The 19,971-nt window shown below is 36.0% G+C and overlaps 1 protein-coding gene across 3 annotated transcripts in view; it reads left to right on the forward strand.

The window, feature by feature from the left end:
• The window catches only part of RAVER2 (ribonucleoprotein, PTB binding 2), an 88,158-nt gene that overhangs the window by 40,423 nt on the left and 27,764 nt on the right, over positions 1 to 19,971 (forward strand). For 2 of the 3 annotated variants that reach the window (NM_001366165.2, XM_011541706.3), the window contains exons 5-8: positions 3,891 to 4,017; positions 17,479 to 17,564; positions 19,237 to 19,341; positions 19,494 to 19,608. In NM_001366165.2, coding sequence (NP_001353094.1) covers positions 3,891 to 4,017; positions 17,479 to 17,564; positions 19,237 to 19,341; positions 19,494 to 19,608 — 433 coding nt within the window. The remainder of the gene's footprint in view (positions 1 to 3,890; positions 4,018 to 17,478; positions 17,565 to 19,236; positions 19,342 to 19,493; positions 19,609 to 19,971) is intronic. The other variant, NM_018211.4, reaches the window with a different exon arrangement.

The following is a 19,971-nucleotide window of genomic DNA, read 5'->3' on the forward strand; positions in this document are numbered from 1 at the left end:
TAGCAGAATTACAGGCATGCACCACCACGTCCAGCTAATTTTTGTATTTTTAGTAGAGACGGGGTTTCACCATGTTGGCCAGACTGGTCTTGAACTCCTGACCTCAAGTGATCTGCCAGCCTCAGCCTCCCAAAGTGCTGGGATTACAGGAGTGAGCCACCATGCCCGGCCAATTGTCCCTAACTTTTTAACATGCATAGGTTTATCAGAACTTCTGTCTACTCACTTATTCTCACCTCCATCTGCTTCCTCCTTCCTACCATACCTATCATCATATTGGTGTCTGCCTTTTTGCATTAGGATAGTCTTAAATGTTTTTGGGGTGTTTTTATGGTTGTGGCTTTGCATACAAGATTAAAATTATGATATTGTGTACCTCAATTTCAACATATTATATAATAACATCTTGCATTTATTTCTTTTCTTGCTGGATTACTTCCTTCTAGGGCATTTTGAAAGATAGTATTCTTGTGGTAAAAACTTTTGAGAACTTATATAGTTGAGAATATTTTTATTTCTTTGTGATACTAAATAACTTAGATGAATCTAAAAATCTAGGCTCAGAGTTCTTTTCTTACAATACTTTGAAAATATTAATTCATTGTCTTCTTGAATCTAATGTTGATGCTTTGAGAAAGAAGATTATAGTAATTTGTTTCTTGTTCCTTTAGAGATATGTTCTTTTTAAATGGAAGTTTTTAGAAGGTTTTTTGTTGTTCTTATTGGCTTTGATGTTCTTAAATGTCACACAAATGTGACTAGGTGTGTTTTTTCTTTAGAAATCATATTTGGAAGACTGTGAACCCTTTCATTCTATGCTCTTCAATTGTTCTTTAATAATGGGAAATTTCTCAGCCATTATTTCTTCAAAGATCTTATTTTCTTCTCCTTCAGAGACTTCTAATATTACAAGTGTTGATGCTTCTACCTCCGTTTTCTTCGTCACCCTGCTTTTTCTTGTTTGTTGGAATTTTCAGTTTCTTTAATTGGATCTTTAAGATCACTACTTTGGGCCAGGTGCGGTGGCTCTTGCCTGTAATTCCAGCACTTCGGGTGGCCGAGGCAGGTGGATCACCTGAGGTCAGGAGTTTGAGACCAGCCTGGCCAACATGGCGAAACCCGGTCTCTACTAAAAATGCAAAAAACTTAGCCAGGTGCGGTGGCAAGCACCTATAATCCCAACTACTTGGGAGGCTGAGACAGGAGAATTGCTTGAACCCAGGAAGCAGAGATTGCAGTGAACCGAGATCACACCATTGCCCTCCAGCCTGGGTGACACAGCGAGACTCTGTCTCAAGAAAAAAAAAAAATACTATTTTGTTTTTTAGTCACATATATTCTACTATTTAACCTATCTGTTAAAGCACAGGGTAAATGTTAATAATAATGCTTCACGAATTCCTTCAGTTTCTTTATCTATAGAATGGAGATAATACTAAGCTTATAGAATTGGTTTTTTGAGGATTAAATGATCTGATTCATGTAAAGTGTTTAGAACAATGCCAAGTCTATAGTAAGTGAGGGCTGCTATTATTTTTCCTCAATACTTATGTTTTTCATAATCTAGCATTTCTCATTGGTTATTCTTTAAAAACTGCTTGTCCTTCATGTTATGAGTAAAAATCCATTTTATTTTTGTAATGTCTATTACATTTATTTGACATTCTTATTATTTCCTATTCATAATTCTGCTTTCTGTCTTATAGGTGGTTCAGTTTGTTGCTTTTATTTTTTAGTGACTGCATTCTCCAAATGTCTAGCTATTTTTCTTTTGAATGTATGAATATACATTTCCTGTGGGGGCTATCACCTTTCTGTATGTCACTGTTTAGAGGTTGTGGGGAAGGGGATGGGCAGAGGGAAGCTAAAGCCTGGTCTTAGCTAGGGTTTAGGGAAGGGCAGGCAAGGACCTCAGGGCAGAGAAGTTCTGCCTTCACCATCTAGGCTTGAGCCCAGCCCTTTTCCCACCCCAGCCAGGCAGCCCTGCACCTTAGAGAGCCTCTCTTCATTTCCACCCCTGCTCTTTTCCAAGTTCTGCCTTCCTCTGCTGTAACTCTTCTATCCTGCAGAGTGGGTGTGGGAGGACCTGAGAAGGTCGGGGAGGTGGGAAGGTTTTCAGTGACCAGCTGGTCTGCCCGCCTAGTGTTATCTTGTCCCCATTGTCTCTGCACTTGTGTGCCATCCTGCTGTTCGTTGGTCCTATGGCTGTCACTGGGGTGATGCTGCTGTTTTCCCACCTCACTGTCCTGGCCAAGAAAGCCATGCTCTCTGAAGGCAAAGTAGTTACACAACTCAAAAGTCCTTCCCTGAATTATCCTGTGTGTGGACCCATGCACTCTCATGCTCTCTGCTGATGTTTACCTTCACATCTTCTATCTCCCCAGGGGTTTCTCACAGGCTTTATGTCAGTTTCTTGGATGCATCACCTTCTCCCTCTCAATTTCGCAGTATGTGGGTTGGGAGAAGGTTCCAGTTGTCCTTGTCCGTTCTCCATTTTCTCATAGCTGAAAGTTTTTAATTTATCTTTTATGTAATTATATATATTCATATCACCATCCATCAAGCTGGTTTTTAAAACTGAAAATTATTTCATGTTTTTAGGAAGCTACTCGATTGCATGTATGTAAGGCCAGCTCATTTTAATCTCATATTAAGTTAATCAAGTAAAGACCTTTATAAAAAAGAAGATTTTGGGCTGGGCACGGTGGCTTATGCCTGTAATCCCAGTACTTTGGGAGGCCGAGGTGGGTGGATCACGAGGTCAGGAGATCAAGACCATCCTGGCTAACATGGTGAAACCCTGTCTCTACTAAAAATACAAAAAATTAGCCAGGTGTGGTGGCGGGCACCTGTAGTCCCAGCTACTTGGGAGGCTGAGGCAGGAGAATGGCGTGAACCCAGGAGGCAAAGCTTGCAGTGAGCCGAGATCGCGCCACTGCACTCCAGCCTGGGCAACAGAGTGAGACTCCGTCTCAAAAAATAAAAATAAAAAAACAATAATAAAGAAGATTTTGGGTCAGTCGCGGTGGCTCACACCTATAATCCTAGCAGTTTGGGAGGCCGAGGTGGTGGATCACAAGGTCAGGAGATTGAGACCATCCTGGCTAACATGGTGAAACCCCGTCTCCACTAAAAATACAAAAAATTAGCCAGGCGTTGTGGCGGGTGCCTATAGTCCCAGCTGCTCGGGTGGCTGAGGCAAGAGAATGTCATGAACCCGGGAGGCGGAGCTTGCAGTGAGTCGAGATCACGCCACTGCACTCCAGACTGGGTGACAGAGCGAGACTCCGTCTCAAAAAAAAAAAAAAAAGAAGATTTTGAATTGTAAGGCAACCCACATTGTTAAACTTCGTTTTATTTTATTTTTATTTGAAGTTTTTATTTGTAAAAATATAGAAACAGGGTTTCAATATGTCACCCAGGCTGATCTTGACCTCCTGAGCTCAAGTGATCCTCCTGCCTCAGCCTCCCAAAGTGTCACGATTACAGGTGTGAGGCACTTTGCCTGGCCAATTAAACTTTAAATCAACATTATAAGAAGGCTCTTCTGTAGTATCAAAGTATCCATATTGTGTCAACAAGTTATTAATAACTTCAGATTCCCTTGTCATCCTTCTATTTGTATGATATGATGAGACTCATTGTGCTAAATTGTCAGTCCTCTTAAAGCCAGTTGGTATTTACCTGAGACGTTCTATGAGGATTTTATGCCATATGTATAATTGAGAACTGCAGTAGAGAGTATAAAATAGATATATAATATAAATCAAATTATGTTTATCATAAAATAGATCTTGTCAGATGAATGAGGATTTCTAGAAGAAAGCCTTTGAAATTGTGTCTTTGTACTTATGCTGTTCTAATGTTTCTTATTTCTATATTCATTGCAGATGCACAGTAATCAAAAGGGCTTACTTCCAGAGCCAAATCCAGTACAAATTATGAAAAGTTTAAACAACCCTGCCATGTTGCAAGTTCTTCTACAGCCCCAGTTATGTGGACGAGCTGTTAAACCAGGTATGGACCATGTATGTATACTGATTAATTAAAGAATGCTAGCATGAAGTTAATTTTTTCACATGTGAAATATGGAAAAATACATTGATTTGTGAAAAATATATTTAAATTAGTATAAAATATTTAATTTTTCTAGGACCTGTTAATGAATTTTAACAATAATCTGAGGTGATATATTTTGACTATTTTTGACATATACAACCTGCTTATGTGGTATTTTTTACTATTAATAAATGCTAAATATCAAACCTTCTGTTTAGCTCTTAGTTGACATGAATTTATAGACCAAGGTAAAGGTTAACACACTACATTGTTATAACCTATATTAACAAAGAATTAATACTCTTCTATGTAATATTTTTAGCAGAATTATTTTGTTGAAAAGTGCCAAGTGTTTGTTTCCTCTTTGTTCTTCCCCTTTTTGTTGTAAAATTGTTTCACTTTGTAGCAAATGATGAAAACATTATTATTTTCTAAGTGTTATGCAAATCTTTATAATATCAGTATACATTAAATATCTACCTATTTAGTATTCTTTCTCTAGTAAGAGCTTACCTTCTGTGCATTCTGAAATGTACAACTTTTTATGTACAAAAATGTCTGTTTTAGCATTATGAGGAAATGAATGCCTATACAGTGGTCTCCCCTTATCTATGTTCTTGTGTTCCACAGTTTAGTTACCTGCAGTCTGAAAATATTAAGTGGAAAATTCCAAAAATAAACTACTTATAGGTTTTAAACTGCATGCTATCCTGAGTAGTGTGATGAAATGTTTTGCCATTCTGCTTCTCCTGCCTTGGCTATGAATTACCCCTCTGTCCAGTGTACCTACTCTGTATACATTACCCACCCATTAATCACTTAGTAGCCTTCTTGGTTATCACATCACCTGTCATGGTATTGTAGTGCTTATGTTCGAGTAACCCTTATTTTCCTTAATAATGGCCCCAAAGCGCAAGAGTAGTGATGCTGGCAGTTTGGATATGCCAAAGAGAAGCTGCAAAGTGCATCCTTTCAGTGAAAAGGTTAAAACATTTCCAACTTAATAGGGAAAAACAAACTGTGTGCTGAAATTGCTAAGATCTACAGTAAGAATGTATTTTCTATCCATGAAATTATGAAGAAGGAAAATGAAGTTTGAACATAGCGTATATAAATTTTGGTACTATTTATGGTTTCAGGCATCCACTGGGGTTCTTGGAACATATCGCTCGCTGATAAGGGGGAACTAATGTATTCAACATTTAAGTTTACAGCAAATATGTATAGAGCAAATATATTAAATACATTTATTATGTTTCAGTCCCAACTGGTCTAACACCAGCTCACCTACTGCAATTCAATTCTAGCACTAACTACCTGGAGTTAGCACAGACCCCACAAGTTAAGAGCTCAATCTTCCATATGGCTGCCCCCACTTTAGACCTAGACACAAGTTCGGGGGATTCTCCAGGCCATGTGCACTTCTGACCAACTAACTACAAATTTGGGAGTTCCCACAGTGCCCTCAGGTTCAATAGTTCAATAGAATGACTCACAGAACTTAGGAAAGCACTATGCTTATGAATACAGTTTTATTATAAAGAGCACAGGCAAGGGAAGATACACTTAGGGAAAAGTCTTGGAGGGTCTTGAATGCAGAGCTTCTGTGTCCTCTACCCATCAAATCAGGCCATGTCACCCTCCCAACACATCAATATGTTTTCCAACTGGGGATCTCTACTGAACTTCGATGTCCAGAGTTTTTATTGGAGTTTCACTATGTCAGTGTGATTGATGGGCCCCATGATTGAACTCAGTCTCTAGTTTGCTTCCATTCCCTGGAAGTTAGAAGGTCAGGCTGATATCACATGATGCAAAGCTCCACCTCTCCTTATAGAGTTGGTCTTTCTGCACAGCCAGCCCTCATCCTGAAGCTATCTATGTGTCCATAATGAGTTACCTCAGTAGCATATCAAAGACACTCCTGTAACTCAAGAAAATACAAGGATTTAGAGTCTCCCTCAGGAACCAGGGACAAAGGCCAGTCAAATTCTTTATTATACAACAATATTCATATTCAGTACTTCATATAATTATTTGTGTGTAAGAAGCAGCTTTGGTAGTTTTCTGGCTCAGGCTATTATGCAATTAGATATCTCTTTTACAATTTTAATAGTATAGAGATACTCTTTTTTGTCTTGACAACATGAAGGATTAGAAGCTCATTACTTCCCAAGGCAGCCTATTCCCTGGTTTGACAGTTTCAGTTACTGGAAAGTTTTTATATTACTAATATAAGTAATTTTTAGCCACTTATTCTGGTTCCACCTCTGAAGAAATACAGGATAAATGTATTCCTTCTTGCATAATAAAAGCCTCCTAATATTTGAAGACAACTACCATGAAACCTCAGTCATTTTTTATTTTACCTGTCTTCTTTTCTCCAGACCAGTTCTTTTTTTTACAATGCAACTTTATCAGTAAAATAAATTTTGAGCAGAGCCCCAGTATATACCATATATGTAAAAGATGTCAGTTAAACAGATGGACCATTGACAATCCATATATTTAGAAATGATCAAACCTAATGTTTTCCTTTTTTAAGATGAAAGTAAACATAAATAGAGATGGTATTTTTTTCTGCAATTCTCTTTTTATACATCTTATATCTCTTTGCAGATTACAGTTCTATATTTGACTTCCCATAACATGTCACAGGACATGTGCTTTAAATCCCCCACAAGTTGTTCTCTTGTGGATATAGTCTAGGTCTTCTGGGTTGTCCCAAAATATGATGTGCACAGACACAAACATATTCTGTATATTGGTTTTGATTAACACAGAATGCAGTGGGATTTCCTTCCTATTATCATTATATTTCCCTTAATGCAGTCCAAGATTATGTATTAGTGTCTAAAGAAGTATACCACATTCTTAGGTCTTTTAGAAAGTATCATCTGCCTCTTTGGACTCTGGGCTATCTTTACTAATTCATCTCAAGTATTATTTTTGTCTCTTCTTTTCATCTAAGACTAAATATTCTCCACTCTGCTGTTCTACTCAGATTAATGTATGGCCATATGGCAGTAGACTTCTTTATACTTAGTGCTTTCTCAATTTTAAGATGTTTGAATATTACACTGATGCAGAAGTTATTTCATAAGCATAGCTTTTTCTTGTGTGGGGTGGAAAGGGAAGAGGATTAAATCACTGCCTCACTTGAGCACATACATAGCTGGAAAATGTGTGGAAAGTTTCTTGATGTTGAGAAAAAAAGACAGTGTCTTGTTAATCAATAAATTCCGTTTATTTTTCTTTTACTATGTCCTTTACTATATCATAACTGTAGCCTTGCTATATCCTGAACTCCTCACAAAGGCCTTCTCTGAGCCAACTAAATTAATGATAAAGAATTGTAATTCTTGGCTGGGTGCTGTAGTTCACGCCTGTAATCCCAGCACTTTGGGTCACTGAGGTGGGCAGATCACCTGAGGTCAGGAGTTCAAGACCAGCCTGGCCAACATGGCGAAACCCCATCTCTACTAAAAGTACAAACATTAGCTGGGCATGGTGGCATGCACTTGTAGTCCCAGCTACTCGGGAGGCTAAGGCAGGAGAATGACTTGAACCCTGGAGGCGGAGGTTGCAGTGAGCCAAGATTGCACCACTGCACTCCAGCCTGGGCAACAGAGCGAGACTCCATCTCAAGAAAAGAAAAAAAAAATTGTAATTCTTATACCCTTGCTCTGCTTCTTTATCATTGTGTAATTTTAAAAACAACTGACATATATTATACAGGTACTTGTTTATTGTCTATTTCTACCACTAAAATGGAAGCTCCAACTGCTATTAGATTAATTTCCCTCCCAGGTCCAATTTTGATTATGTTACTCTGACCAAGCTGATCTTTTCTCTTCAATCTAGACCTTTTAACTACCTTCAAAAATACAATAAATATAATTATTCTAGACTTCTTTATGTATGTGTGTGTTCCTAATTTAACTGTTGTGTAATCACTTGATAGTATAAACTGTATTTTTTTAGGATAAACTATTTTTAAACAGCTTTATTGAGGAATAGTTTATGTACATTAAACTGTAGGTATTTGAAGTGTATGAATTGATATGTTTTGATGTTATGTATATACTCATGAAATCATTACCACAATCAAATAATAGACGTATAAATTACCCCCTAAAGCTTCTTTTTGTCCATTTGTAATCCATCCCCTATCCTGTCCCCAGGAAACCACTGATCTGCTTTCTGTCACTACAGTTTGTATTTTCTAGAAATTGGTATAAGAGGAATCGCACAGTCTGTACTGTTTGGCTTCATTTACTTAGCTTACTGTTTTGAGGTTCATTCACGTTGTTACATGGCTTAGTAGTATTTTTTTCTTTTTATTACTGAGTGGTATTTCATTCTATAATTTGCTTATTCATTGATTTGTTGATGGGCATCTGGATTATTTCCAGTTCGAGGTCATTACAAATAAAATCTCTATGGACATTTGTGTACTAGTCTTTATGCTTTTATTTCTTATGCTTTTATTCTCTTTGATAATTAACTATCTGTGGAATGGCTGAGTCATATGGTAGATATATGTTTAAGTGGTAAGAAACTGCCCAGCTGGGCCAGGCGCAGTGGCTCATGCCTGTAATCCCAGCACTTTGGGAGGTCGAGGCGAGCGGATCACGAGGTCAAGAGATTGAGACCACGGTGAAACCCCGTTTCTACTAAAAATACAAAAAATTAGCCGGGCGTGGTGGTGGGCGCCTGTAGTCCCAGCTACTCGGGAGGCTGAGGCAGGAGAATGGCGTGAACCTGGGAGGCGGAGCTTGCAGTGAGCCGAGATCGTGCCACTGCACTCCAGCCTGGGTGACAAATGGGGACTCCGTCTCAAAAAAAAAAAAAAAAAAAACTGCCCAGCTGTTTTCCAATGTGGTTGAGCCATTTTACATACTCACCATCAGTTTCTAGGGCTCCAGTTTGCTTAGTATCCCCACCAGTACTTGATCTGTTGGTCTTTTTAATTTTAGCCTTTCTATTGGATGTATAGTGCTCTCTTACTGTGGTTTTAATTTGAATATTTCTTTTGACTAATGATTTTGAGCTTCTTTTATTGTGCTTATTTGTCATCTTTATATCTTCTTTGGTGATATGTCTTTTCAAATATTTTGCACGTGTTAAAAACTGAGTTGTTTGTCTTCTTATCAAGTTGTAAGAGTGTTTTTTTATTTTACATACAAGTACTCTGTTGGATATATGGTTTGCAAATATTTTTTTAACAGTGTCTTTTGAGGAGCAAAATTTTTTATTTTGACAAAATCCAATTTATTATTTTTTCTTTTATAATTTGTACTTCCTGTGTCATATTTGAGAAATCTTTGCCAAATTCAGGTTTTCTAAGATTTTCTTGTATGTTTTCTTGGAGAAAGTTTTATAATTTTTATCCCTATATTTAGGTCTATGATCTATTTTGAGTTAATTTTAGTTTGTAGTATGAGGTAAGAGTCCAGATTTTTTTTTTACATATAGTTATACAATTATTCTGGCATCATTTGTTTAGAAAGATAATGTTTCATTGAATATTTTGACATTTCCCAAAAATCAGTTCACCATATATGCATGAGGCTATAACTAAACTGTGTTCATTGACCTAAATGTCTGTCTTTTACCAGTACTGTCTTTATATCAATACTGTCTCTATACCAAAATATATGTGTTATAAATCCTGAAATCAGTTAGTGTAAGTCCTTCAACTTTATTCTTCTTTTTCAAAGTTGTTTGGCCATTCCAGGTTCTTTGCATTGACTTATAAATTTTAGAATCAGAGTGCCAATTTCTATGAAAAATGTCGGCTGGGATTTTGATTGAGATTGTGTTGATTTGTATGCTAATTTAGGCAGAATTCACAACAATTCTGAGGCTTCTGATCCATAAGTATGGTATATCTTTTCAATTATTTTGAGGTCATATTTAATTTCTCCCAGCAATGTTTTATTTTTTCAGATACAAATCTTATACATCTTTGGTCAGATTTATTCACAGTATTTCATATTTTTTGATGTTATTTTAGATGGTACTGCTGTCTTAATTTCAATGTCCTGTTGCTTGTTGTTAGCATATAGAAGTATGACTGATTAAATATTTATTTATCTTATATCCTACAGTCTTGCTAAACTCACTTATTATTTCTAGTAGGTTTTTGCTGGGATTTTCTATGTAGATGATTATGTTATCTACAAATAAACATAATTTTACTTCTTCCTTTCCAACATGTATGGCTTCTATTTTTTTCCTTGCTTTTTTGCATTAGATAGAAATTCCAATTGTGCATAGAACTGGTGAGAGCAGACATCCTTGCCTCATTTCTGATCTCATGGAGAAAGTATTCATTCTTTAATTATTAAGTATTATCTTAGCTAGAGTTTTTTTTCACAGATTTCTTTTATTAAGCTGCGGAATTTACCATCTATTTCTAATTGCCGAATTTTAGCATGATGGTTGCTGGAACTTGTTGAATGCTTTTCTCCATCTATTGAGATGATCATATATTTTTCCTATCTGTTAACATGATACATTACATTGATGATTTTTGAATGTTATACCAACCTTTTATTCTTAGGGTAAACCTCACTTAGTCATGTTATATTATAATCTTTTTTATATATTGTTGAATTTGATTTAATAAAATTTAGTTTGAAATTTTTGCATCTATGTTTATGAGGTATATTGGTCTGTAGTTTTCTTCCCTTGTAATATATTTTCTGGTTTTATTATGCTGCCCTCATGGAATGATTTGGAAAATATTCCCTCTCTTCAGTCATCAGGAGAGTTTATGTTCAGTGCTATTATTTCTTCTTCATATGTTTGATAGAATTCGCTAGTGAAATCAGCTGTGTCAAATTTTTTAAGGAAGATTTCTGACTACACATTTAATTTCTTTAATATGTAAGAGCTATTTCAGGATCTTGTTCTTCTTAAGTGAGCTTTGCTAGTTTGTATCTTTCAAGGAAATTGTCTATTTTGTGTAAGTTATCAAATTTATTGGCATAACATTGTTCATAGTATTCCCTTATTATTCTTTAATCTCTGCAGGATCTATAGTGATGGCCTCTTTCACATTCCTGATATTTTTGTCTTCTCTCTTTTTTCCTGATAAGTCTGGCAAAAGGTTTATCAGTATTATTGATTTTTCCAAAGAGCTAGCTTTTGTTTTCATTGACTTTCTCTGGTTGTTGTCTGTTTTTTATTTCATTGATTTCCGCTTTAATTATGTCTTTCTGCTTACCTTGAACATATTTTGTTCTTCCTTTTCTGGTTTTTTAAAGTAAAACTAGATTATTCACTTGAGACCTTTCTTCTTTTAATGTGTTTAGTATTACAAATTTCCTTCTAAGCACTGTATCTCACAAATTTTGATATGTTATTTTCATTCATTTCAAAATACTTTTTGGTTTCCATTTTGATTTATTTGGTCAGTTGGTTATTTGTGTCACTTAAGTTCCAAAATTTGGAGATTTTCTAGATTTTTTTGGTTATAATTTAATTCACTTATAGACAGAGATGATACTTTGTACAATTTAAATTTATAAATTAGAATTTAGACTTGTTTCATGGTTCAGAATACAGGCTATATTTGCAAATAGTCCATGGACACTTGAGAAGAATATATGTTCCGCTCTTACTGGATGTGGAGTGTTCTATACACGTCAGTTAGATCAACATGGTTGATAGTGTTCATGTCTCCTATATCCTTACTGATTTTTCATCAACTTATTCTATCAGTTATACTGAGGAGAAGGATGGGGCATAGTGGGAGTCCTAGCCATAGCTAAGGGTAAGAGCAGGTAGGCATGATGCTATGGACATTTTCAGACTGTTTTTATTCTGATTGTTGTTTCTGTTGTTGTTATAAACTGGAAGGTACTGTGTTCAGTAAAAAGCTGTGAAGAAAAATTATTTCAGTTTTTTATAATAAAATACAGTGATGATATGAAAAAGAGAAGAAGAGTTGTTGAAATTTTTAATCATAATTTTGGGTTTGTCTACTTTTCCTTTCAGTTCTGTGAATTTTGCTTCATATATTTTGAAGCTTTGTTATTTGGTGCACAAACATTTAAGATTGTTGCATCCTCTTGATTAATTGGCCCATTTATCATTACAAAATGGTGATCTTTATCCCTGGTAATATCTTTTGATCTGGATTTTTTTGATATTAAAGTAGCCACCAGCTTTTAAAAATTAATATCACCGTATCTATCTATATCTATATGTTTATATGTTTAACAAAATATATTTTAAGTTGCCAAGTGGGTTTGTATTTTCTATTATCTTGGAAAATCCTTTTCTGATATTTGCAGTATTACTACTGGCTACTCCATCAATAATGTGTGACTTTAAAGTAATGTAGTTTTTTTTTTTCTTTTTTTTTTTATTATACTTTAAGTTTTAGGGTACATGTGCACATTGTGCAGGTTAGTTACATATGTATACATGTGCCACGCTGGTGTGCTGCAGCCACTAACTCGTCATCTAGCATTAGGTATATCTCCCAATGCTATCCCTCCCCCCTCCCCCCACCCCACCACAGTCCCCAGCGTGTGATATTCCCCTTCCTGTGTCCATGTGATCTCATTGTTCAATTCCCACCTATGAGTGAGAATATGCGGTGTTTGGTTTTTTGTTCTTGCGATAGTTTACTGAGAATGATGATTTCCAATTTCATCCATGTCCCTACAAAGGACATGAACTCATCATTTTTTATGGCTGCATAGTATTCCATGGTGTATATGTGCCACATTTTCTTAATCCAGTCTATCATTGTTGGACATTTGGGTTGGTTCCAAGTCTTTGCTATTGTGAATAATGCCGCAATAAACATACGTGTGCATGTGTCTTTATAGCAGCATGATTTATAGTCCTTTGGGTATATACCCAGTAATGGGATGGCTGGGTCAAATGGTATTTCTAGTTCTAGATCCCTGAGGAATCGCCACACTGACTTCCACAATGGTTGAACTAGTTTACAGTCCCACCAACAATGTAAAAGTGTAGTTTTAAAAGTGTTTTGATATCTGTTATTTGTGGTTTCCATAATAGTTTTTTGAGGGAAGAGACTTCTATTAATCTTTCATAGGTAATACATCTAGGGCTTTGTAATTTAGATGTATTTCCCCAGGTGGTCATTAATTTAACAAGAAGGGATGTGTCTTAAAAACTCTATTTTTTGTACTTCAACTACAGAATTTGAAAAAAATTAACTCCTCCACTCAAGTTTTTTTCCATTAAGAAAATTTTTAATTGACATGTAATAATTATACATATTTATGGGGTACAGACTGATGGTCCAATACATGTATATAATCTGTAATAATCAAATGAAGGTAATTAGCATATTAACCACCTCAAACATCCATCATATCATTGTGTTGGGAGCATTTAAAGTCCTCTCTTCTAGCTATTTCAAAATATACAATAAATGTTTGTTAACTTAGTCACCCTACAGTACTATAGAACATGAAAACTTAATCAGCCTATCTAGCTATAGTTTTGTAACCATTAACCAACCTCTCCCTATCATCCCCTTCTCCCTTCTCTTCCCAGACTCTAATAACCATGATTGTACCTTCAACTTCTATGAGCTCAACTTTTTTAGCTCCTGTATATGAGGGAGAACATGCAGTATTTATCTTTATGTGCCTGACTTGTTTCACTTAATATAATGTCCTCCAGGTTGCTGCAAATGACCAGCTTTCCTTTTTTCTTATGGCTGAATAGTATTCCATTGTGTATATGTACCACATTTTCTTTATCCATTCATCTGTTGGTGGACACTTAGTCTATATCTTGGCTACTGTGAATAATGCTGCAATAAACATTAGGATGCAGATATCTCTTCAAGATATGGATTTCCTTTTCTTTGGTTTGTTGTTGTTTTTGTTGTTATTTGTTTGTTTTTTTGAGCTAGTCCCACCCTGTTGCTCAGGCTGGAGTGCAGTGGCATGATCTCAGCTCACTGCAACCTCTGCCTCCTGAGTTCAAGCGATTCTCATGCCTCAGCCTCCCGAGTAGCTAGGATTACTGGCATGCACCACTACACCCTGCTATTTTTGTATTTTTTAGTAGAGACGGTTTCGCCATGTTGGCCAGGCTGATCTCGAGCTCCTGACCTCCAGTGATCAACTCACCTCAGCCTCCCAAAGTGCTGGGATTACAGGTGTGAGCCACTGCACCTGGCCGTGATTTCCTTTTCTTTGGATAAATATTCATTAGTGGATTGCTGGATCCATATGGTAGTTCTATATTTGTTTTTTTGAGAAACCATCGTACTGTTTTCCATAATGGCTGTACTAATTTGCATTCCCTCCAGCAGTGTAAGAGAGTTCCCTTTTTTCCGCATCCTCACTAGCATTTATTATTTGTTTGTCTTTTTGATAATTAGAATTAGCTGTTCTAATTGGGGTGAGATGGTATCTTATTGTGGTTTTGACTTACATTTCCCTGATGATTACTGATGTTGAACATTTTTTCATATACTTGTTGGTCATTTATATGCCTTCTGAGAAATGTCTGTTCAGATCCTTTGCCCATTTTTAAATTGGATTATTTGGGGTGTTTTTTTGTTTTTTGTTTTTTTTTTTTGCTGTTGAATTGCTAGAGTTCTGTGTATATTCTGGATATTAATCCTGTGTCACATGAATAATTTGCAGATATTTTCTCCCATTCTACAAGTTGTACGTGTTCACCCTATTGATTGTTTCCCTCATTGTGCAGAAGCTGTTTAGTTTGATAAAATCCCATTTGTCTATTTTTGATTTTGTTGCCTGTGCTTGTGAAGTGTGACCCATAACATCTTTGCCCAGATCAGTGTCCTCAAGTGTTTCCCCCATGTTTTCTTCCAGTAGTTGTGCAATTTTTAGTCTTACATTTAAGTTTTTAATAGATTTTGAGTTGGTTTTTATATATGGTGAGAGATAAGGGTCTGGCTTCATTCTTTTGCATATGAATATTCCGTTTTCCCAGCATAATTTATTGAAGGGGCTGTACTGAAGTTATTTGTCTAAGTCAAGTAATATTTTCCCTAATTTTCTACATTTAATTCCCTATCACTTGCAGAGGAGTTCTTTTCCGTGTACCAGTTTTCCACTCAAAAATGCCTTTTTCCTCATTGAAGTAGATAATAGAATTCTAAGTGAGTCATCTTCCATATATCCTCACATTATCATAACTTTCCTAAAATTATGCTAGAATTAAACATTCCCTCCAATCCTGTGTACTCTGGGCACTTCCTCCTTTGCTAGAGAGAATATTGAAAACTGTTGAATTAAATAGTTTCCTGTGATTATCTCACTGATATCATTCTACTCCTGAAACCAAGAAGTTGGATCATTCTTGTCTTCTGAGGTGGTCCCAATGTAGACTTAGATGGATACTAAAAAATTTGGTTACAATGAGGATTTATTTCATTTATTTATTTATTTTACCTTTCATAGTACAGTGTTTTTTTATTTTGCTACATATATATTACAAGAAGATGTTGCCAGAACCTTTTCTGGACACTGTTTGTATATTTTATATATATATATATAATTTTGTATATTATTATTATTATTTTGAAATGGAGTCTCACTCTGTCAGCCAGGCTGGAGTGTAATGGCGTGATCTCAGCTCACTGCAACCTCCGCCTCCCAGCCTCAAGCAGTTCTCCTGCCTCTGCCTCCCAAGTAGCTGGGATTACAGGCATGTGCCACCATGCCTGGCTAATTTTTGTATTTTTGGTAGAGATGGGGTTTCACCATGTTGACCAGGCTGGTCTCGAACTCCTGACCTCAAACAATCCGCCCACCTTGGCCTTCCAAAGTGCTGGGATTACAGGCGTGAGCCACTGCACCCAGCCTAATTTTGTATATTATGATTATTCCAGTTATTTTACAATAATTAGATTAAATTTCTAAATATATTTTCTATCTCATGGTCCTCTTTGTGTCTCTATATTATCTATTCTAAAAACATCCTCCCTTTTTTTTTTTTTTAAAGTCAGAGCAAGTTTATTAAGAAAGGGAAGCAATAAAGAATGGCTGCTCCAGGCCGGGCGCGGTGGCTCACGCCTGTAATCCTAGCACTTTGGGAGGCCAAGGCAGGTGGATCTCAAGGTCAGGAGTTCAAGACCAGCCTGGCCAACATGGTGAAACCCCATCTCTACTAAAATACAAAAATTAGCTGAGCATGGTTGTGAGCGCCTGTAATCCCAGCTACTTGGGAGGCTGAGGCAGGAGAATCTCTTGAACCCAGGAGGCCGGAGGTTGCAGTGAGCTGAGATCGTGCCATTGCACTCCAGCCTGGGCAATAGAGTGTGACTCTGTCTCAAAAACAAACAAACAAAAAAGAATGGCTGCTCCATAGGCAGAACAGTGGCATGGGCCACTGGTTGCCCATTTTTATGGTTATTTCTTTATTATCTTGATTATGTGCTAAACAAGAGGTGGATTATTCATGAATTTTCCAGGAAAATGGTGGGCAATTCCCAGAACTGAGGGTTCCTGCCCTTTTTAGACCATATAGGGTAACTTTCACACGTTGCCGTGGCATTTGTAAACTGTCATGGTACTGGTGGGAGTGTAGCAATGAGGACGGCCAGAGATCACTCTTGTCACCATCTTGGTTTTGGTAGGTTTTAGCCGGCTTCTTTATTGCACCTTGTTTTATTAGCAAGGGCTTTATAACCTGTATCTTGTGCTGACCTCCTGTCTCATCCTATGACTTAGAATGCCTAAATTACTGGGAATGCAGCTCAGCAGGTCTCAGCCTTATTTTACCTAACTTCTATTCAAGATGGAGGCACTCTGGTTCAAACATCTCTGACACCCCCCACCTGCTCCCTTTTGTAAGTTTTCCATTCTAAAAACATCCCTTTTGAAATGTACTCTGGTATTTAGACTCTTAGACGCGATTATGAGTATTGTTACCATTTATTCTTTTTATGTCTGTGTACAGTTTTGCAGTTTCTTTTGATTTTATTATGTAAATATTTTTGTGTACATATATTGTCTTCTCAATTGGATTTTATGTAAGCTTTTCAAGGACAAGGATTGTATCTTGTCCCCTACTCCTACCCTCTGCCAAAATCCCTGAAATACCAAAAAAACACTGAATAAATAACATGGGTTCAATGAGTATTGTGCTTATTAAAGGTGGATGTGTTTTGTTGCACTAAATTCTAGAGAAAATTAAGCCTAGGTTTGGAGTTTTACAATTATGGCAGAAGGCTTTTGAATTTTAAAGCAAATTCCAGGGTTGAATCTCAGGGAAAGGTACCTATCACTTTTGACCAATGACAAGGTCACTATATCATTGAACTTTCAGTGGATTTGTTAATAGTTTAAAGAAATATTCATTTACCCTTTTCGAAGCTTGGTTTTTAAAAATTTTTAATTCCATATATAAATTAAAGTTTTTACTTTTATTTTCTCAAAGCCGTTCTTGGAACACCTCACAGCTTGCCACATCTGATGAATCCATCCATCTCTCCTGCATTTTTACATTTGAATAAAGCACATCAGGTACATAAATAACATTGAGTACTGAAGCATTAAATATTCGGAGTGAATATTTTGTTTGTTCTTAACACTTAAAGTTCTCAAGAAATTAAATGAGTATTTTGCTTTTAAAGAAAATCTTTAATAATAAGTATAGGTATGTAAAATCATAACTTATTGAGTATATCAGATTCAATTAAGCTAGCCAAAGCAGTAGTTATGTACCATGATAAATATTATTGATTCCAATTTGTATGGCATTAAGAAGGAAAGTGGTATATTTTTTTCTAGATAATAAATAAGTTGTTCAAGACACGGCTTCTTATGTGGTCTTAACTCAAAAAAGTATTTCTAGAAAGAAAATATAAATGAACAGTAACTTAATTTTTAAAATTTAATGACTATTATAAAAAATAACTCATGTATATGAGAATAGAGTATGTTTCCTACCTTTTTTAGATAAATATTTTAAATGTGTGTTTATAGATTTAAATGTCTGTAATATTAGAGATAAGCATTACTCATTAATTTCAGGTACTGTTTAAGAACATAGAATTCTAATTACAAATCAAACAATATATAATCGAATTTTAATATAAGTTGAATGAATGAATATCTGGTCCTAAATCCAGCTTTTATTTTTCATCCTTAGAATCTAACACAGGACTTGGTGATACATTATAGAGTTTTTATTCATTCATTTACTCAATGTATTTTATTGAGTATCTGACATATATGTATTAGACATTGTGCTAATCATTGAGGCTACTGTGTGGAATGTAACATTTAAAGTCTATGTTATTATAGAATTTCAACCAGTAGGGAAAACACATTAAACAGTTAATTACAATAAGGAGTGGAGAGTAATATGAGAGGGGAAGTTCAGAGTATTGATAATATTCCCTGTGTTTTAAGAGAAACACCAAAATGCATTACCTTTAAGGCCCATACATTTGAGCTGGCCCCTCCTGCCTCTCAACTCACTGCAGATCGCTGTCCCACTACAACAGCCTGGTTTTGGTCCTCAAAGGACCTTGTTTTTTCCTCCTTTGGTCTTTTCTCCTGCTGGTCCTTCTTCCTGGAACGCTTCCCACCCCAACATCACCTAATTCCCTCCCAGACTTCAACTACAGCCTTCAGATTGCAGTACAATAATTAGTTCCTCCAAGAAACCTTCCTTGAATCTTCCAGGCTAAATAGCATTCCTCCACTATTTGTTCTTATAGCCCCCTGTATTTTTCCTTCATGTGATTACCATGTGTAATCCTGTGTTTTTTTTATTAATTAATGGCTCCCTTCCTTAGGGGATTGTAAGATCTATGAGGGCAGATCTTATTGTACTTCTCACTAAGTAGCACAGTGCCTAGAACATAGAAAGTGCTCAATAAACCTTTGTTGAATGATTAAATGAATAAATAAATGAATGAATAGAATGTCACTGTCATTGAAACCAAAAAGGGTTGAGAGGAGGGAACGAAGGATGAAATAATGTAGAATTATTTCATGACTGCATGGCCCCCTCTTGTGTATTATTAAAATAATTAATTAGCTTTGTCTGATAAGTTGGAGAGTGAAATATGTTTAGAAGCAGTTACTTTTACTCAGATCGACTGGAGAATTGAACTTCAAAATGAATTGGGTTATACAACATGTAGCTTTTCAAAATTAAACTGACAACGTTTTGTCATTTTCACAGAGCTCAGTTATGGGTAATACTTCTAATTTATTCCTTCAGAATCTTTCTCATATACCACTGGCACAACAACAATTAATGAAGTTTGAGAATATTCATACTAATAATGTAAGTATGGTATCATTTTTTCTTTTAAAATCAGTTCATTTCTTTTCTAGAATCAGGCTGTGGATCAGGTTGTTTATGAATTTTCACGTGTGTAGCTTTTTTTAGGTTATATCTTATGGCCATGGGTCTTACCTTTTTTTCTTCTTTTGTAGAAACCCGGCTTACTTGGAGAGCCCCCAGCTGTGGTACTTCAGACTGCACTAGGGATAGGGTCAGTGCTTCCATTGAAAAAGGAGTTGGGACATCATCATGGAGAAGCACATAAAAGTAAATGATGTGTATTTACTGAGAAGTCAGTAAACAGTCAGGTTTGAGATTTAAAGATAGTTTACCTATGTTCTAATTTTATTTACAGGGAGGTCAAATTTGAGTTTTATTTAGTCATTTAAAATTTTGAGAACCCTCTTGGCTTTTCGATTTTCAATATTGGTAAGTTACTGATGGACTTGCTTCCATGCCAAGATAAGACTTCCCCTATTGGATATGCTTTAATATTTTATGCAGGTTCACAGCAGTACAAGGTAAAGACACAGATCCATTTGAGACTGACATGCTGCCCACTGGGCTGACAGCACATATGGATCCATGTAATTATTGCTGGGATAAGAAACCATTCACTTTTATTTTTTA

Source organism: Homo sapiens, chromosome 1 (genome assembly GCF_000001405.40).
Source record: "Homo sapiens chromosome 1, GRCh38.p14 Primary Assembly".
In the NCBI taxonomy this organism is placed as follows: domain Eukaryota; kingdom Metazoa; phylum Chordata; class Mammalia; order Primates; family Hominidae; genus Homo; species Homo sapiens.